Here is a 21,508-nt window from a genome sequence, read left to right as displayed (position 1 = left end):
ATGCACAAAAAAGATAAATTGGACCTAGTTAAAGGGATGAGAAAAGGGTTCCCTGAATAACAGACGATTGAATGGATGTATGAAGAATGAGTGGGCTAAGAGGGAGGAGGCTCCCTCTTAAATAGGCTAAGAAGGAGGAGGGGCATAGACCTATTCCATCTAATTTAACTGTTTTTCAATGATAAAAATTACATGCACCTATACATATATAGATACATGTGTATGTACATACACATATCGAGCTATGTGTGATCAGACTGCTTCAATTGTTTTGACATACAGAGAGTGCAACAGACACATATGCCATTGACCCTTTCTGTGCTTGCCTGACTGTGGTAAGTAGTCCCTATTCATCCTGGCTGCTTTCCATTTCAAGCACACCTGTTTCTTTACTTTTAATCCCAAGGGTTTTCTCTAGCTCCCTAGGAGTTTGCTATACCACAGCAAAGCAGCCTAGAAAATGTTGGGTTGAATGTTGCCCCCAGAGGCAACCATCATCGAATGAGTGACAGGACTTCGCAGGTAAATAGCATACTTCTTTAGCCGTTCATGAGACAATTATGAGATGTGTTCTAACCAGTTCCTCAGAGGGTTCCCCATGGGATTGAGCCTACCATGGCAACCTGCTTATTACAGCACCTCTTACTGTATTCTCTCCCTTTCTGGCGCTACTGTCCTCCCTTCTTCACTTGTGCTTCAGCAGACCATCTTGCAGATAAATGACCTGTTCACAAGTCCTTGTTAGGGTGTGATATTGGGAGATGAGGAAAACTCAAACTAAGAATGTAAAGTGACTGTCAATCAAGGCAATGGACAAATTCTAATGTCTATCACATATACTGTGAAATGCTTCTTTTAGTGTCCTGAACTTTGACATAGTCACAAGTGATAGTAATCATTGATTACCCTTTGCATGAGGGCTTATTTCCATTGTGATGATAGTCTAGAAGATTGCTAATTTCTTCACATTTCAGCCAGTGTTCTGTCTCTGTCTTCTGGTCAACTCGGAGAAGTCAGAGATCTGGTTGCTTCCTTAATATGTGTGGCCTGTGGTCTCTTTAATGTGGGCCAGACAGAATCTGAGTAGGAAGGGTGAGACTTGGTAAGATGTAGGTTGTAGGACATGGACAGTTCTCAGAAGGGAACTTTATTTTCTCTGAACTCTTCTTTTGTGTGTGTGTCATTTTACTATGAGATTTACTGCAGGTGACTCTGTTCCCTTGGACTGTATTCTGGCAGTGGCAAAAGGGGCTACTCTGTAATATTCTAAGACTATTCCCTGGACTATGAGGGATAGGAAGGACAAAAGTCCTGATATAACACAATTCCTCCCTGACATGATAAGGGTATGCTCAACCTGCTTAAGGGGTATTGATACCCTTTCCTGTGAATCACTCTGGCTGTTGTCCAAATAGTGCCCTTTGCACTTCGTGTATTTGCACCTTGGGAAAGTTATATGCGGTAAATCTTGCTAGTAAATCTTGACTTTTTATATAATCAAATTCAGCATTTGTGGAGTACCTGTTCTGTGCTGAACACTGTGCATAGGCAGTTTCTTTACCTTATTTAATTTTTACATGCATCATGCGACAGACACATCACCATCTCATGTTACACATGAAGTGGATTTAGAACAGTTAAGGTGTCGTAGCTAGCAATAACAATCTAAAGAGTTAAATGTAAACCCGGGGCTCTTCCTAGCACTTCATGATTCCAAAGATTTGAAGACATATGATCTGGTGAAAAATTAATAGCGGGCATAGTTGTTATATTTTTCCCATTATGAACTCTTAGAAGATTGTTTCTCTTCTTAATTATTCTCTTTATCTTCTGATGAATATAATAATTCTTAAAACAGCATCTTGCACAAGGATTCTGTGGCAAAACAAATGATGTAATTTATTCTCCCATATCCTTAATGTGGAACATAGCAGCATTGTATTTACTAATGTAAAAACCTACAATTTTGGCTATCATACTCATATTGAAGCCCAATCACAAAACCCAGCTGATGGTTAGTCACAGAAAATGAGTGCTATTCAACCATAAGAGCTGAATAGCAATTCCCAGCATGCCACACAGACCTTCTCCCATAAAATTGCAAACTTGCTCTTCCCCCTCCTTCCCTACCTCCAAACAGATTCAGAAGGTTGAAAAGAGAGTAATTGTGTCTAAATATTCTAATATACTTAGATTTATAATTATGTGCTAAATGATAGCCCCATAAAAAATAAACATCTTGTTTATGGAGATTAGTATAATGTGCTCTGTAGAATTTGATGACAATAGGACTCCTAAGACAATAATATATTATTCAGAATGGCATTGTGTTCATGTTTGCTCAGACGGTTGCAGAGGATTAGCTGGAGCTCAGATTTTACACTCATTTTCTCGTATTATTAGTATGAAATATGCAAAATCTGCGTTAAATCCAATCTTAGAGTCTCCTTTTCCTTAGTTTCATTAATCTTGGAACCTTGTGTTCCAACTTCCTACAAATCTATTTTTAAAGCCCTCAGCTATTCTTTCATTTGCAGGAACAAACAGCAGATTGCTGAACAGAGATGAAAATTAGGGTAGTTTTTCTTGCTACTAGAAGAGCAAGCAAAGTTTACTAACTTGTCGTGTTAACCCTTTCTATTAAAAAGAAATGGCCTGGAAATAATTAAAAGAACTGTTTAATAAGGATAATTTGCAAATTATAAATTTATATATGAATTAAGACAAAAATCACTAATTATCAGACACAATTCTATTAGGGGAATTGCATCTATTTATTTTAGGATATAACATTTGGAAAGTAAAAGAGCTAATCCATATTATGTATTTTTGTGGAAAGGGATTTGCTACCAAAAAGAATCAGTTCCAGATGGCTAGGCATTTTTGATATGTCCTTGAAGGCTCATACCCATTGCTTTATTAGAAGCACATGCTGGTTATTAGCATCTAAATTTTAAATTGATGGCTAAAGTAGATTCATGAGTGAGAAAGCCTAGTGACAGAAGAAGCATTGCTTTAAATGTCAGTGAAATGTCTAACACTAAGAGGATATTTAGTGTTAACCCAAAACCTTATGTATTCACAAATTTCTATCTTAATGTCAGATATTCAAAGTATCTCAGCACAGCTGAAGTTTCCATGACCCTTTAGGAATTTTAATTCTATAAACAACATGCTAATACAGCACTGGAGATAAAATGTTCAGTTCTCCAGTAAGAACCTGGGCCTAATCTCATCTCTTCATTTACTGGTGATGAAGCCTACACTGAGCCACTTTCTGTTTCAGTTTTTTAATCTATGAAATAGTAATAGATACAGTACATATTCCATGGGGTTGCCGAAAGAATAAAGTGAGATAAAGGACACAAAGCACTTTATGTAATAAAGCTCTCTGTTTCCAATTCTATTTTTAAGAAGTGGTTATTCCTATATTACCCTGAGGCAAAGTGGGGGCAGGGATTATGAGGGCTAATTCTTTCTCTAAGGCTGTCAAAATTCCATATGTTTGTCAATAACAGCCCACTTAATATAGAGAAATACTCCAAAGTCATAATGTAAAATACTAAAACAGAAGCAATTTTTTTGGCTGACTCAAACATGTAATGATTCGATGATGTAAGTGAAATTTCCATATATTTACTTAAAACACAAGCTTTACCAATTTACTTACAAAACTGTATTTCAATACATTAAACATAAAGGACACATATGTTAATTTTTAAATGTTTGTTTCTTTTATTCTCACACTCATCTTCAGTATCAATGCCATTTTGTACCATTCGTGTTACACTTTGAGTCGTCTGGCAGGTCTCTAGAGCATGTTTTCTTTTATTTTACCTATGTAATATGAGATATGGCCTGGTTTACATCCATGTGTATGGCCATTGGAAAATTTTTCCTAAGCCATAAGAATGCATTTAGATTTTATTATAAATTTTTGGTTTTCATTTGTCCTGTAGGTTTATGTTTAAAATCACCGCAATATAACCATTTGCTACATTTCTTTTAAAACAATCTTTTTAAAGTCTATTTTAAAGTCTCGAGTGAAGTAGTTTGGAGCAACTGGTTTAGTCTAGAGAGACAAAGACTTCCCAGAGGAGGTAATGTATAAATTGAGCCCCAAATCGTGTGAGTGTTTAGTGAAAGATGGTGGCAGTAGTTTCCATAGTACATTAATGACAAGGAGAGCAGCCAAGGGCTACCACACTACCCAGTAGTAAATTGTAGGCAGCAGATAACTAAGTGAATTAGTCAAATCAAGCAGTGAGCTCAAAGATGAAGCACAAAGATTTCATCGAAGAGAAAGAATATGGGTCGATTAAATATAAGAGTTGAAGTAGAGGTCATAACAGGTACTCAAAAATTGTTTGTAAAATGAATGAGGAAATGATCAAAAATAAGTTCACAGTTTCAAGCTAGAAATGGCACAGTTGGCAAAAGAAGCTTTTTCAGTGCTCAGGAAGGTGGGATTTCCAGTGAGGCATGGAAAATAAGGGATTGGATAATAGAAATAAGTGAAGAAAGCTACTACTCATGAAGATTTAGATATGGAAATCATCCATGGCAGGGGACAGGTGCAAAAAAATGTAGCATGGCTGAGATTAAAAGCAGTCTATGTAATGTATGGCTTGGGTGTTGCCTTTTACTCTCTTTATGCTTGAGTGGTTGTGTTACACTTATAGAAAACAACTGTAATATAGTAGAAGCAGTACTGGACATGAAATCAAGAACTGAGTTCACATTTTTCATGTACTATCTATTAGCTACGTGACCTTTAGCAAATCATTTAACATATAAGATGGTTTCTTTTGAAATTATTTTAAAAACACCATCTGTTTCACAGAGTGTTTGTGAGAATTAATGAAATAATCTAGGGAAAATCTATAGCAAACTGCCTACTACATAGATATTCAGTGACCAGTTTTAAAATTACACTTGACAGTTTTCACGACAATTGTAATGGTTCCGAAATAGCAAATAACAATTTTCAATTGTGATTAGACAATGGCTTCTCCCAAGCAAAGTGCTAATGTTGTAACAGAGGAGCAGGTCTTGTTTATTTCTGGGTTGAAGTGCGTACACAGCATCTTGTATCTTAGAAGTAAAACAAGAATGGGGAACTACCTAGCTTTCCCCTGAAAGTACCTGCTTAACTGAATAACTCAAGTTTAGCCAGTGTAAGTGACAAAAGGGAAGTATCTAAAACAGGAGAAGCATTCGGTCTAATCCTCTTTGAGTCTTGTCAGAAATTGTCATTGTGACATCTGAGTTTGTGATTTCCTCATAGTGACATCTCCACTACTGTCCTCTGCCTGGTTAAAACACGACTCCTTCTCCCGAGCGGAAGGCACTTAATCCACATTTGCCCTCTTATAGACTTTTCCCATGATTTTTTAGATTAAGCTAGATGAAAAGGCTCATTTTGTATTCTGATTGCTGAACTGGAACGATGTAAGCCCCTAAATAAACAAAATGTTTTCTTATATACAAAAGATACTTTGCATTGGGATATACAAGGTGCTTTAGCAGTCTTGGAGATTGGTAGAGGGAAATGGATAAAGTTTGGCAATATCTATAGTACGGCGTATATCTATGTGGATGAAGAGGCCATTACCAGAAGCAGCCGTAAAGTGTGTTGGGTCAAATATAAAGCAGAGAGAGAATAATAAACGGCCTAGGAAGAAGTGATGAGATGATTAATGATAAAGACCTGACACACATAGTCCAGAATTATATCTGTATTCTCCATACAAGGTCACTCAACAGGCTTGTTTGGCAAACTAGCCAGTATACTAGTACCAAGTGTTGGGCCCTGAGAGACTGTCTTAGGTATTATTGCTATTCCAAAGTCAACCTTAAGAAGCAGAGGTATTCAGTAAGATTTGCAAACACCAAAGCCAGTGCTCCTACAGCTCTACTTAGAGGGAGAATGAAGAAAAGGAGTGCCTGGTGGTTAGAGCCTGACTGAGCAGGTGGCCTATAGATGACAGCTCCCTGGGTGCCTGCATTCAGCTGAGGGAAATTACAGTAGTAAAGCTGGTCTCCTTGGCTGCAGAGTTTAGGATTTTCCATAACAGTAAAGTGGGTTCCTGGAGCAGAGTCAGGATCTGCTTTGGTGTCTGCTAAAATATAATTTACTGAGCCCTATCCAGGCCTATGAATCGATATTTAAAGAGGCTCTGCTGGTTAATCTTAGGCACACTGAAGTTTTGGAACTCTTATTCTATAGCTGCAGGTAATGAAAATGTCCTGAAAGATAACTAGCATGATGTGTATTGAATCTCTTCTAGTTTATTGAAGAAGGAGCAGAGTTGGCATTCTCATTAGAACCCAACTCAGAGTTTGGCTCTCCAAAGCATTGTCCTGGGTACTGTGTTCTCTGGAAAGGCATAGACTAACTAGGATATCTGATTTCTTGCCTTCTTCTATAAAATAAAAGAAAAAAATTTGTGTTTTTTCTCATTCTGATTCAACAGAAAAAGACCTTTTATTTTTCCTTCGTACCATTTCTACTACATGGAAACTAAGCATCATAACTTTCTCAGGTTAGCCTGGCCTTCGTCATTTATTCATGCCTGGGAGGCATTGGTATACCCTATTCAACAGCTGGCCCCGGGATATATCCACACTTACTCCCAGCAATCAAAGCCCTGTTTGTTCAGCATCTTTATAATCTCCTCTGTTTTCATTCAGATAGGCATGAGACTCTTCTCTACCTGCCATTTAGTAATAGTAGCCAGGCTGAGTGACAAACACTCTAGTCCCTAACCCTTCTTATTTTGACAAGCTTTTCATCAGAGTTCACCTTTGCTTCACACCTTTGCAAAAAGGTGAATACATGTTGACATCCACATTCTTTTTGGACATCTCTCTAACAGCTGTCAGGATGAACTTGTATTTTCTGCTTGTCTTACACATTCTGTCACAAAGCCCAGGAGAGTCTTTGCTTTCTGGATGTAATGCAATCCCCATACTTAGAGTTTTTCTATTTCTTTCAGGTACTGATAACCTGGTTACTAAAAATGCTTCTCCATTTGTTCAAATTCAGCATTAACTTGAAAACATTTTAAGATTCCTTTACCGTTTAAAGGGATGTACAATAAAATCAGAACAAACCACTCAAATATTTCATGCTGTTTCTGGGTTTTGAATATATGCCAACCAATTATTCATTATTCCATTTTATTATATGAGCAGTACATGCTTATAACATAGTCTATAGCCAGACTCCTGTTGCTGAGTTTTTTTCTACCAAGATGTAGCTGAAGAACTTGAAATAATTTATGGGATAGGTCAATATGTATTGTTCTTAGTGTCAGAAGATTCCTGAAATGACACTCTATGGCTAACAGGGATTTACAAGCCTCTAAGTATTAATCTAGAATTAACTTTGGTGAATACATGCTAAGAATAAAAACTACATTGCTTATAAGAATTTGATATTCTTGGCCAGGCATGGTGGCTCACGCCTGTAATCCCAGCACTTTGGGAGGCGGAGGCGGGCAGATCACGAGGTCAGGAGATCGAGACCATCCTGGCTAACACGGTGAAACCCCATCTCTACTAAAAATACAAAAAATTAGCCCGGCGTGGTGGTGGGTGCCTGCAGTCCCAGCTACTCGGGAAGCTGAGGCAGGAGAATGGCGTTAACCCGGGAGGCAGAGGTTGCAGTGAGCCGAGATTGGGCCACTGCACTCCAGCCTGGGCAACAGAGCAAGACTCCATCTCAAAAAAAAAAAAAAAAAGAAAAAAAAGAATTTGATATTCTTATTTGAACCAAAAATTATTTAAATGGAAAGGAGAAATCTTGAGAAGAGGCAAAAAGAAGAATAAGAAATATAAAAAAGCATAGAAAGGAAATACCTATCCGAGATGAAAGAACATTCATTTTTGAAAGACATACGTAAGGGTTTTAATCCTGGCTGAGCTGTCTACCACTTGTATAACACTCAGTGAACACATCAACAGCTTTGGTGAGGATGTCACTGCAAAAGTCTAACAGAACAAAAACATAGGTGATAATTCCTATTGCACCAAAGTTGTTGGTGACAGAAGCAGAAACGACTTTCGCTAAATTAAAGAGGAGGGTAATTTATTGGTAAAATATGAGGGAACCCCTAGAAGCTTTAGGAAGGTGGGAAGTAAAATGGGCAGGAACCAAAAGAAGCCAGGTGCAACCACGATCTGACCTCACTAAGTTTTATGGAGCAGTGGATGGGTTATTATTGCAGAGTCTCTGCCACAGCAACTGCAAACAGTCCCTGCACCTTTGAGTAACTCCCTCAAGATTCAGTTTTGTAGGCAGATGGACAAGCCTAAGTACCCTGGCTGTCCCTTACTTAGTTTCTAAGGGACAAAAGACAGGTCTATCTGATGCCCCATTCCCCAGACTTTGATAGAGAGAGGTGAATCCTAGCTTCCTCTTATCTTGAGAGTCTCCCAAACTAAGAGACATGTTCAGATGCTGGACAGACGGCTACCACACATCTCCCTCATGGCACATCACAGATTAAAGGAAGTTGTATTAAAAGAAATGCTTTGGTAAAAGTACCTGACACTTAGCATGTGTTCAATCAACATGATTTGTATGGTTCTTTTTCCTTGTATTCCATTCAGATTGTTACATGTAGAATGGGGATTGTTATTTGCATGTTAATTATAAGAAAATTGAGGTATATGTAGAGTTTTTGACCTAGGACTTATGCTGCATGGCAAACTGATGATGGACCTAGGAAAGACCTGCTGCTGAGAAGTGCTTAGACCTTCTTAACGTCAGGGAGAGGGAGAAAAAAATAAATAAAAATCTTTATGTGATTCTCCCATTTGAGGACAGAAGGGAAGGAATGGCCTGCCCACCCCCCACCCATTCGATTGGAATTCAGATTGAATTATTTAGTTTCAACTTTTACCCCTCAATGCTTATTCAGTGGAGTCCCAGACTTCTTGTAATGAGTAGTATAGCAGGACAGCAGCAAGAGAGGGTTAAAATTCAGTTGTAATGCCACTGACTGCTGAGTGAGTCACAGGGTTGGTTCATAGGTGTACTTGCAAAATCTCCAAATTCAAAATATTTCCTAGATTATCTTAGGTGTTTGGAGTTAGATGATAAATCTCACCTCAATCTACCATTGTTGAATAATTTATTCTTTACCAGCATTTAAAATGTCCAATTATCTTAATGGCAAAATGTGGAAGTAAGAAAGAGAAAGGAGGAATTACTTACATAACAGCCATTTATTTCCTACCAAGGCTTTATTGTACAGACATACATAAATATCAGTTCATTTTAGTGTAATGATGCCTTAAATTAATATGTTAAATTATTATGTCCATTTCAACTATCCCAGGAACTATATATTCAAATAATAATATATGTATTAAACCATAGTCCTTCTCTGATGGAAAGTAAAATGTATCATTCTTTTTTTTCATAGTAATAAGCACTGAGAAGTGGTCAGCATTTCTTTGTATGGCATCTCTTAACTTCCACCCTGTGCTATGAGGTAACTAGATGCCACTCCTGGTCTTTGTGTTTCCTGCCAGGCTCTAGTGCAGTTGCTGATGTCCCAAAGCTATTATTTCTTTATGTGACCAGGGTTCCAAGGGACACTGTATTCCCTCGCTAACAAATGGTCTTGTTCTCTATGGTCTGTCACAGACAGTTATCCAGTTTCCCCAGTGCCTAAAGCATATTGGTAAGGAATCCCTGCTTTCTTTAGTAATATACTCCAAGGATCCATCCTAGAAGTCCGTTTCTTATGTCCCATCATTTTATAAATCTTGATAAGCATGTCTTCCATTTTTTATGAGTAACTATCTCTCCCCTAAGGAGCCTGCATTTGCAGGCCTTAACTCAATAGCCTTAAATTTCATCTACAACAGTGTTCCAAATTATTCCCTCTCCTTCCATTTCTATCACCTCCATGTATACTAAACATACTCTCAATAATGAGACCCTCTTACTGTCCCTTTCTTAACTGGATCCTTGATTCCTGGTGCAAATAAATATGTGGAGGGCCCTTGGAATTCCACTGATGCACATGGATTACACACAAGCCAGAACCCTGTTACATCCCATATCCTGTAGCCTGATAAACATCTGATAAGCCTGTCTCATTATAAGGATGTTTAGGGGATTTTCTGGGTGTTTGTTTTGGTGACTCTCTATTACAGTTCTTTATGAAAAAACAGTTGCTTCCTCATGTAGAAGAGACCCTTGAGGCAATGTTGTTAAATAGACCTTTCTGCAGTGAAGATGCAGATGTTCTACATCTCTGCAGTTCACAACAGTAGCCACTAGCAACATGTGACCATTGAGTATTCGATGCATTCCCAGTATTGTTGAGGTGCTCACATTTTAATTCTGTTTAATTCTAAGTAGAGTAAGTAATTTAAATAACTACATGTGGGTAGTGTATTGTCCATCTCCATTGGACAATACAGTTGAAGAAAAGATTAAGAGCAGAAAATTCTCATCCTCAGTTTCATTAGATGTGCCTTCTAAATTTTAAAATCATATACCTACTGAAGCAACAGTGAAAGGATAAGGCAAACAAACTTTAATTTAGGTAGGTCCCTAACAACATTAAATTACAAATGAAAGCAGGAAACAAAATAAATAGAAGAGAATAAGATTGCCAAAAACACTGTCAACAACCCATAATTCAAACCACACACTGTCAATAAAACTAAAGAAGTGACTATTTGGGTTTAATGTCACTGTGCAGAGCATAAGACAATTAGGAGAAACTGTTTCAAGTACTAAAATAATTTGGTCTTGAAGTGTAATGGGTAGAAGTAATTGCCTTGGCTGGCAGGCATCTATCTAATGTTCTGATTTTAACGTCTTAAATACAAGGCATGCAAGCGCTAAAGCCAATTGAAAATAAATCCACTTTTTTTTCTTCTCTTGGGTTTCAAACACATCTTGAATGGAGAGATGAGAAAGAACATGGTAGCAAAGGTATTACAGACCACCATGTGACATGAACGTAAAGCCAAAGTAAAACTAAAACATACATAAACGCATAAAGGAGCAATTGCTTATCCCCATCCACGGCATTTTCAGATATTCCTCAATAAATATTATTTGTTAGAATCATTTTAAATTTTAAACTAAGGTCACATTATTTTGAAATGTTGAAGTGGAGAGATACAAGCAATTCAAATATTGAAATCTAGGGCTCTCGTGTATGCCTGGGACACTAGCCTTGTTTCCAAAGAAGAGCTATGCTAATTTTTCTTTTTATAAATTCTGTCATTGCCACTATAATAGCTCTGGGATGCTGTGAGAATTAGGTGCTTTTGTGCTTGAAATTCATTATGTCCTTAGTAATTTTTATGTGGCAGGGAATTATAGATGTGGTACATTGTAAAGTGTTATATGGAAAAGGAGTTAGCAGTGGGAATAAAGAAAGGGAAAGATCAATCAAGCCAGGTGGCTTTGTTTGCTCTATCATTGTCCTTATTGACTTTGTTGCATTGTTTTTGAATCCCAACGGAAAGTGAGAGCATGTAAAGGTCGTGAGCAGGGGGAGTATTATTCACAGCTATTTGCAGTTCTTCAGAGAGTAATTTATGAGAGAGACCTCAGTTCTTAGAATTCAAAATGCAAACAGAAAAATATCACAATCCTTGAAGGATAATAATAGCCAATCCTTAATTCTGGAGCTAGAAATTCTGCTTAAAATATATATTTCTAAATATTGTATTTTAATTTTCTATTTAATGAAAATTTAAAACAACAGTCACATGATGTACAAAATATTAGGCAGCATGGTATAATGAACATAATTGCTTCAGAGTCAGACATACACAAGTTTTGACACCAACTCAATAATTATTTATTGGAAATCCTTGAAAAATTCACTTAAACTCTTTGAGTCTCAGTTTACTGTGCTGTAAAACAGGGCCAGACACCACTTTTACAGGCTTATTCCGAGTCTTAAAAGATAAAATAGCAAAAGCACATTGCTGACCCATACTAGGCACTGAACCAAGGTTAGTTTCTCCTTTCTTTCTTTTTTTTCCCCCGCTCTCTGTTCTCTGTCCTCTAGACCCAAGCCCAGTGGAGATCAAGTTATTTGAGAGAAATGCGTAATTTGTTATTCTAGTCAGGGCTGTTGCCCTAAAGTGTGGCCTTCTTGCCTAGCTTGGTGAATCAAGCTACAGCAACTAAAAGGAAAGCTGAAGGTCTCATTAATCGATTTCTTCTTAAAGCAAGAAGCTAGGAGCAGCCCTAAGCAGCCAGCCATGCTAGCTTTCCCCTTCAGCTCGGTGGAACCAACACTGAAAAGCAAAGCAAATTGTGCTGACAGCCTCCAAAAGCACTTATGCCATTCTTCCCAAACCCTAGATGGAGCAACTCATCAGGCATTTTAAAAATCATTTTTTATTTGACAATAATTGTACGTATTTATAGGTATGTAGTGATGTTTGGGTACATATAATGTATAGCTCTCAGATCAGAGTAATTATTATCCATTGTCTCAAACATTCGTCCATTTACATTCAATGATATTATTAATAGGTGAAGATTTACTCCTGTCATTTTATTGTTGTTTTCTGGTTATTTTTTATATCCTTTGTTCTTTCCTTCCTTTCTTATTGCTTAGTTTATTTTTGTGGTTGGGTGGTTTTCTGTAGTGATAAGCTTTGATTTCTTTCTCTTTCTCCTGTGTGTATGAGCTCTACAATTAAGTTTTATGCTTTCACATGTTTTTCATGATAGTGGTTATTATCTTTTCACTTCCAGATGTAAGATTTTTTTTTTTTTTGAGACAGAGCCTTGTTCTGTTGCCCAGGCTGGAGTGGTGCAATCTTGGCTTACTGCAGCCTCTGCCTCCTGGGTTCAAGTGATTCTCCTGCCTTGGCCTCCTGAGTGGCTGGGACTACAGGCATGCACCACCACACCCGGCTAATTTGTGTGTTTTTAGTAGAGACGGGATTTTACCATGTTGGCCAGGCTGGTCTCAAACTCCTGACCTCAGGTGATCCACCCGCCTCAACCTCCCAAAGTGCTGGGATTACAGGTGTGAGCCACCACACCCTGCCTGTAAGACTTTCTTGAGCATTGCTTGTAAGGCTGGCCTAGTGTGATAAATTCCCTCAATTTCTGCTTGTCTGTAAAAATTTAATTTCTCATTTATTTCTGAAGGATAGCTTTCTGGGTATAATATTCTTGGTTAACAGCATTTTTGTATTTTTTTAGTTTCAGAACTTTGAGTATATAATTTAATTCTCTCCTGGCCTTTAAGGTTTCTGTTGAGAAATCTGTTAGTCTAATGAAGTTTCCATTATATGTGACTTGATGCTTTTCTCTTTCTGATTTTGAAATATTTTCTTGGTCTTTGACTTTTGACAATTTGACTATAATATGCCTCAGAGAGGATTTATTTGGGTTGAGTCTATTTTTAATACTTTTAGCTTCCTGGACCTGGATGTCTCTCTCTTTCTCAAGACTTGAGAAGTTTTCTGCTATTATTTTATTCAACACATTTTACTCACCATTTCCCTTCTCTTCTCCTTCTGGAATATCCATAATATGAATATTTGTTCACTTAATGGTGTCACATAAATCCTGCAGGCTTTCTTCATTCTTTTAAATTCCTCTCTCTTTCTCTCTCCCTCTCTCCCCCACCTGCCCCTCTCTCAATATGTCTGCCTGTGTTATTTCAAAAGACCTGCCTCGAAGTTCAGAAATTCTTCCTTCTGATTGGTCTAGTTTGTTGTTGAAGCTCTCAATTGTATTTTTTTTTATAGTTTCGTTCACTAAAATCAGATCTAGAATTTTTGTTTTGTCCTTTTAATGATATCTATCTCTGTCAAGTTTCTCATTTAAATCATAAATTATTTTGCTGATTTCTTTGAATTGTTTGTCTGTATCCTCTTGTATCTTACTGTGTTTTTAAGGTTATTATTTTGAATTCTTTTCCAGAATTCAATATTCTGGATTTTCATATATTTCATATATTCTGCAATTTCATATATTTCCTTATTATTGGAATCTATTACTGGAGAATTATTGTTTTTCTTTGGTGGTGATATATCTCCTTGCTTTTTCATGGTTTAAGTGTTCCTATGTTGATTTTTATGCATCTGAAGTAAAAGACATCCCTTCCAATTTTATGAAGTAGGTTTCATAGGGGAATTCTTATTTGTATGAATATGTCTTACAGTATTTCTTTGGTGGGATGCGTTGGCCTTGATTCTAGGTAAATGCAGTAGTGTAGTCTCCATGTAGTTTCTTCACCTGTAATCCACATTAGTGGCATTTATGAGTTTCTCAGTGGCCCAGGCTGAGAGAATTTGTGGTGATGATGGTGCAACTTTGCCAGAATGGGACTCACTGGGCTGTTCTCAGGTTGGAGTATATGTGTGCACGTTGTATATTAGCTAACTTAGGGTCTGGCTTGCTACGGCTGTGACCACAGGCCTTTTACTCTGGGAGCAATGCACACACAATTGCTCAGCTGGCCTAGGAGCATGCCTACCAAGAGCAGCTTCTGGGGCTATGTCTCAGTCCCAGGAGGCAGGCACTCAGCTCCTTTGTTGGCCTGGGGTCATGCCCAGGGCCTGAGAAGCTATTTCTTAGATCTGATATGTGGTGACATAGCTGCTCAACTGGCCTGGGAAGCATGTCTGGTGAGGGTGACTCATGGGGCTATTTCATAGGTCCATGATGTGGACACAGGACTGCTTAATTGTCCTGGGAATGTACAGCTGCTTGGCCGGCCTGGGGTCATGTCTGCTAGGAGTAGCCCCTAGGGTTATTTCTCAGGTTTAGTACATGTGCACAGGGTTGCTTGACTAACCCACAGGTATTTCTACTAGAAGGAGACACAGGGCTCTTTCTCAGGCATGTGAAGGCACAGGGCTATTTCTCTGCACAACTTCTTGTCTGGCCTGGGGTCATTTCTGCAGGGTACAGCCCATGGGGCTGCTTTGTAGGCCTGGGACATGGGAGTGCAGTTGCTCAACCAGCCTGGTGGCATGTCTGCTGTGAGTGGCCCGTAGGTCCGTTTCTCAGGTCTGGAACACAAGTGCAAGGCTGCTTGACAAACTCAGGGGTGTGTCTACCAGGGGAGGTTCATAGGGCTGTTTCTAGGTTTTGGATGTGGGCTCTTGACTGGTTCCAGGATTAGGGGTATGACTACCAGTAGCTGCCTGTGGGGCTGTTTCTCAGGCCCTTATTTGGGCACAAGGCCATTGGATAGGCTAGGGGTGTAGCTACTGGGAACAGGGATACTACAGAGCTGTTCTCAAGTCCTGAAAATGGGTGACTAGATTCCCCACTGGCCTAGGGGGTATATCAGTTACTCAGAGGCTCAGGGAGCGCTCATGTTTGGGAGAGGGTATGCAGTAGTTTGGCCAGCTCAAGGGCAGGTTCACCCTGGTCAGGACTGGCAGACTGTTCCTCAGGCTGAAATTGCAGCAACAGGATTTGTTTCCTTGCTGTGCAGGACCAGAGTTGCAGTCGCAGTGAATCCTGTGCACAAACTCTGTGCAGCTGGGATTGTGGGTTTTTTTTTTTTTTTTTTAGACGGAGTCTTGCTCTGTTGCCCAGGCTGGAGTGCAGTGGCATGATCTCGGCTCACTGCAAGCTCCACCTCCCGGGTTCACACCATTCTCCTGCCTCAGCCTCCCGAGTAGCTGGGACTACAGGTGCCCGCCATCACCACTGGATAATTTTTTGTATTTTTAGTAGAGACAGGGTTTCACCGGGTTAGCCAGGATGGTCTCCATCTCCTGACCTCGTGATCTGCCCTCCTTGGTCTCCCAAAGTGCTGGGATTACAGGCGTGAGCCACCATGCTCAGCCTGGGATTGTGGCATTTAAGCACTTGTATAGGCTTGGCATAATGAAGATGGAATCTCTGTACTGGAGAGGTGCAGGGGCTATTGGCGTCAAAGCAGGACACATTCCAAAGGGGGCTCTACTCTCAAGGTGGCACTGTCCTGCAGCAGCTTGGCTCACAGGCAGAGTTGGAAGTGGGGAGTGCACACTTTGTGCTCCTAATCCAGGGCAATGCAGCTGTGTTAATGTTCAGTTTCTCTTCCAACTAGGAGACAGTGGAAGTCTCCTGTTATAAGGATTGTAGATGCTTACAGTGATAATGGGAGCTGGTGGGAATCTTCTGCTTACCTTTTCATCACAACAGGAAGTTTCTCCTGACTCCAGGTAGATCTGATCTAGGCCAGAAAGATGGGAGTTGCAGAGGTCAGGCACTTCCACACTGCACTACTGGACTTGTAATCACCACAGGTGTATCTCCCCTTTCCCACTGCACTCTAGCACTCTCCTTTCAACACTCCAGTCAAATCTTAGCTGTTTATTTGTTGCCTTTGTTTTTACTTGTGGAGGATGATGAATGCCAAGTATCTGTAGTCAGCCATCTTGCTGACATTACTGTCCCTTAATCAAGCTTTTATTAAACCCCTCAGTGCTTCTTACAAAGCATTCTCATCCCATTCCTGGAGTGGAGGCTACCTCTGTCTTCCCAAAGAGAGGAAAATAATACATGCCTGACTCTCTGCCAAACATTCTGTGGAATAGCACCCTGGCTTACTGCTGTCTTCTCTTTATCTGTGCTGTTTTACATATCCCTTGCTCCCTTCATAATCATGGTGATAGTGACAAGTATACTACAACCAGCATCTATAGTAAGTGATTTCAGGATACTTGGATAGGTGGTTTATATGCTTTACTTCTCAAATATGTAGGATATTAGTTTGATGTCTGTTTTACATGGGAGTAAATCTGAGCCTTACAGTTTAATTTGCACTTTTATATAGTTAGTATACTGCAGAGCTGAATCTCACATCTCAATCTGAAATCCAAGTCCATGTTCTTATTGTACTGTCATTTCTAGTCTTTTCCCCCATAATGTTGGCTTCTGAAAATCAGATACCCTAATTGATTGGGGTTGGAGTTAACAGTGAAGATAGGATGCCATCCTCAGAAAAGATAAGGATACGTTCTGGGACAATGGACAGAATTAGAAAAAGTAAATAATTAAAAGTCTTGTCTCTGTCAATGCAATCTTGAAAATCTCTCTCCCTCTGCTTTTTTTTTCTGAGCCATCCTGCTGTCATCTATAAATGTAGCTGATAACCTCTGTCCTACCTACCACAGAAGTTTGTTGAAAGAATCTAATAAGACGTTTTATATAAAAACTATTTAAAAAAAACTATACAACCGTATGCAATTTGGTGTCATTATTAAAATTAGATGTTTTTACATTTTAATCCTCCCTTTCCCTGGGATGGGACACTCTGCCATCCTCCACAGATTATATTGAATAGAAGTATGCCTTTGTTCTTGTTTCATTTTCAATCATAAGAAATCTATTTTGACCATGAAGCTAGAGGCCGTTATAAAAGGACTGAAAGGACTGTGGGGTTTTGTAGCTTGGCAAACTTAGGTTTGACAACTCCATCAGTTACTTGTACTTCACTGCTGCAAGTATGTATGTAATCGGTGTCTTATTCTCCTAGTTTCTGTAATGAGACTAACACTATTCCCTCTTTCATGAAATTTTTGTTAGAATTAATGTGATAACCTTGCAAAATACCCTGCCGTGTGCTCTTATGCAATAAGTGTTATTAGCTGTTGAGCCTCACTGTGGTGACCTGGGAAAACTGTGTACTAAACAGGAGGACAGCTTCCTTGATATTATAAAGGACTTCCATTGTCTAAATGCATGATTTAAGGAACTACGTCGAAACTAATGCAAGTCCAGTTGCATCAGATAACAGGTGGGGATTTTTTAAAAAAAGAATGCCCAGGCCCCACATGGGGATTCTGTTACTGCAGATCAGTGGTGATCCTCCATAATATGAATTTTAAATAGGCATCTAAGGCAATTCTTAAAGTAAACTTGAGAATAACCATGTTCTTCAATAATATGACTGATTTTTTGACATTGATGTTTGTAGTTCTGTTTAATATGTCTCATACTGATAAAACTTTAGGGAATAATAAATAAGTATGCCAATTAATGGCTTATAAATAACTGTAAGAAGATTTGGAACCTATAATGGAACTTATCAGTTTTGAGAATCAGTGAGAGTTAACATAAAACTTATTTTTACCTCGTGGTTTCTTGAGGTCTTAGAAGCCAATTTTATGAACAATTTCCCCTTCACCTCTTTGGTCTTGTTGGAAAAATGAAATTCCTTAAGACACAAGAGATCCTTGTTACTTCCGCAGTCAGCCCCTCACTTTTACATGCATGATGACTTATGAGGAACAGCGAAGGTTACTATGGAAACCATGACTCTTTTTTAGTTGATTGACAGTTTCCACTTACGTAGCTCCTTTGGTAGTGTGAGTTAAAGCAATAAAAATAGTGTAAAATAGGAATAAGGTTTTCCAAGCCTTAAAATTAAATGTGTCTCAAGTTGACATACTCAGTAAATGACAGCAAGGAAAAATTCACTTCAATTTCTCCTTACTCCTGCTTTATTCCTTACCTGTTCTTTACTTTTTCTTTGCAAAATAACAGTATTTAATGAAAGACATGGGTTTGCATCTTTTCATTGTGGGCTCCTGACCACCCTCATATCCTTGAGAGTCTAAAAGATAATTGGCAAGGCATGAAGTTTCTCTCAATATTTTCTTGTGTTAACCGAAATCTTTTTATAACTCCTCAGAAAAACTTCCCCTTTGCCCAGGATCCCAGTAAGTTAGTAGGATGACAAGGGTAGATGTATTCATTTCCTAGGGCTCATATTAACAAATTATCAAAAACTGATGACTAAAAAAATCCCATAAATTTATCCTCTCACAGTCCTGGAAACCAGAAGTCTGAGAGTGACATGTTAGCTAGGGTTTTTCTTTTCTTTTATTTTATTTTTCTGGATACTATAAGGGAGAATCCATTCCATGCCTTTCTGCTAGTTTCTTGCAACTATTGGCAATCCCTGGTGCCACTGGGCTTGTAGACACAGTCCCTGCCTCAGCTGTCACATCAACTGACACAGTGTATGTTTTCTTTCCTGCCCTTCTCCTATAAAGACACTTGTCACTGGAGCAAAGGCCCATACAAATCAAGTATGATCTCATCTAGATATTCTTAACCTAATAATATATGCAAAGGCTCTTTACCCAAATAAGGCCACATTCACAGGTTACAGGTAGACATACCATTTTGATGGTCTACCATCTGACTCAATACAGTGAGTCATCTGGAATTTCCTAGGATGCAGGGCTTAGGAGGACATGTGACATCAATGCAGGGGGTCGGGGGAGGCGGTAAAAGAACTGATGGAAAAAATAAAGTAGTACTAGGACAAAGCAGGGACTGAGAAACCAAGGAAGAAGAGGCACAAGAAATATCAGAATTATAAATGGAAGGTCTCAACAATTTCTTGACCATTAGCCAATATTGACTTCATACTCACATGCATTAATGAACTAGAATCTAACCTGGGCCTCTGTAAACGCACACATTAACACTTTCCTTTTTCTAACTTTTCATTGAGGGATAAAAACACCTTTAAAAAGGGAATTACAAGTAAATAAACAATGAAACATCTCTTTCATGTGCATTTTCCCTCTCACCTTTCCCTTCAACTCTATTTTTTTAGGAATTCAATGAGCTAACATAACAAATCACCCCAAGGTGCATATGTGAGTTCTCATAAGATCAACTTGGTTTCCAATATTAAGTCTCATGTCAGATCATGTTTCAGATCATAAATACAGTTTAACTTTGGGCTTAGAAAATAAGGTGACTGGTAGTATGTGACAGAAGAAATAGCACAGAGTTTGTCAGGGAAAACGAGCGCTCTTCTTGAAAGTGCTACCATTGGGGACTTGAATGTGCTATTTTGTATCTCTATCCCCTTAAATATAAATAAAAAACGTTGAATTAGATTTATTATTTTAATATTTAAAGATCTAACCCCCTTTTTTAAAGTACAGAAAAGAACGGCTAATAATAGAATACTCACTTTTGGAGCCAAATTAAAAATAATAACTATCCATTTATAGTTATTTCATGATATGTCAGAAATGGTTCATGTGTTTTGTTTATATTAACTAATTTAATCCTCACCAAAATTTCATTTAATCCAGATATAGAAACTGAAATACGGGGAGATTGAGTGCTACAGGTTGTAAATATAGCCTGGGATTTGGATCTGAAAAACTTGACTCTACAGTCTTTGAACTTCATCAGCTTGCTATGGTTCTTCACATATTTTAACATATTTGCTTCAGATATTTTTGTTTTAAAAATTAAATTTGAAGTTTCTGTTTCATTCTCCAGAGAAAAGAAATATCATGAATGTGGTATGTATTTCACTGATGGACATTTGAGCTTTTTTATTACAAATAATTTTATCAACATTTTTATATACTCCCTTCTGAATATGTACAAGGTATTTTCCTAGAAATGGAATTGCAGTGGCAAAGTATATTTATATCTTCATATTTATCAAATATCACCAAACAATTTTTCAAATGTTGATATTCTGCCAAAATCAAGGTATAAATGTCACTGTTTAATATCTGTAGCAATATTGAATAGTACTTAATTTTTAAAATATGTGTTATGTTTGCACTCCCAAATTATTGGTGACACTGTATATTTTTTCATAAGTTTATTGGCTATCTTTATTTTTATTTCTATGAGTTGTCCTTTCACAATCTTCCTGTTTTTCTTTGTAATTGTTTTCCTTTTCTTAAATATTTGTAAGTGTAATTCATACCTTGTTGGTTTTATGTTTTGCAAACATCTCTTAACAATCTGTATTTTGACTTTTAATTTTGTTTATTGTCTCATTCTTAATAGTAGTTTTATTTTTGTTGTGATCAAATTTTGTAAGGTTTTTCTTTATGCTTTCTGATTTTTGTGTTTTCTTTATACAATTCTTTTATGCCTCAAGATACTAACCATATTCCTATATATCTCTAATTTTTTTGTTTCTCACATTTGAATACATACATCTTCTGAGATACATGTTTTGTATAGTGTGTTATAGGGAGATTTAAGGCCAAGTGTACCAACAATACTAGTTATTGAGTAATCTTCAGTCTCTAAATTAAATTCTAATACCTCCTCCATTCTCAAAAAGTTCTCATATATGCTGTAATCTGTTTCTGAAACTCCTGTTCTGTCATCCTGGTCTATTTACTTATTCCTGTGACAAGACCACATTGTATTAACTAGTAAAGCTTCATAAATTTTCTTTCTCTGTGGTGAGACCAGCCCTCCTCCTCATTTCCTTCTTCAGAATTACTTCAGATACTGTTTTAACATTGTTCTTCCATAAGTTTTTTAAAATTAGTCTATTATATTTAATGAATAGTTTTCTTCAAATTTTGCTACAACTAGAATTAAATGTACGCATTAATTCAGAGACAACATCTATATATTTGCAATTGATGTATCAATCCATTACCTGGGGTTATCTCACTTTGCAATCAGGTTTTATTTCAGTTAAATAAAACACATTTTTATTATTCTACACATTATATTTATGCTATTATAGTTATTTGGGGA

General features: G+C 37.9%; 1 annotated feature.

Moving 5' to 3' along the window:
• Positions 18,635 to 19,834: an enhancer, noted in NCBI's record as "P300/CBP strongly-dependent group 1 enhancer chr17:50750682-50751881 (GRCh37/hg19 assembly coordinates)". NCBI's record gives its function as "activates an origin of replication core promoter dependent on BRD2, BRD4, P300/CBP, MED14 and CDK7 cofactors, with strong dependence on P300/CBP, by STARR-seq in HCT116 cells {active_cell/tissue: HCT116}" and the evidence as "EXISTENCE:reporter gene assay evidence [ECO:0000049][PMID:35650434]".

Source organism: Homo sapiens, chromosome 17 (genome assembly GCF_000001405.40).
Source record: "Homo sapiens chromosome 17, GRCh38.p14 Primary Assembly".
Taxonomy (NCBI): domain Eukaryota; kingdom Metazoa; phylum Chordata; class Mammalia; order Primates; family Hominidae; genus Homo; species Homo sapiens.
The sequence above is the reverse complement of the archived record's forward strand: the minus strand, read 5'-3'. Positions and strand labels throughout refer to the sequence as shown.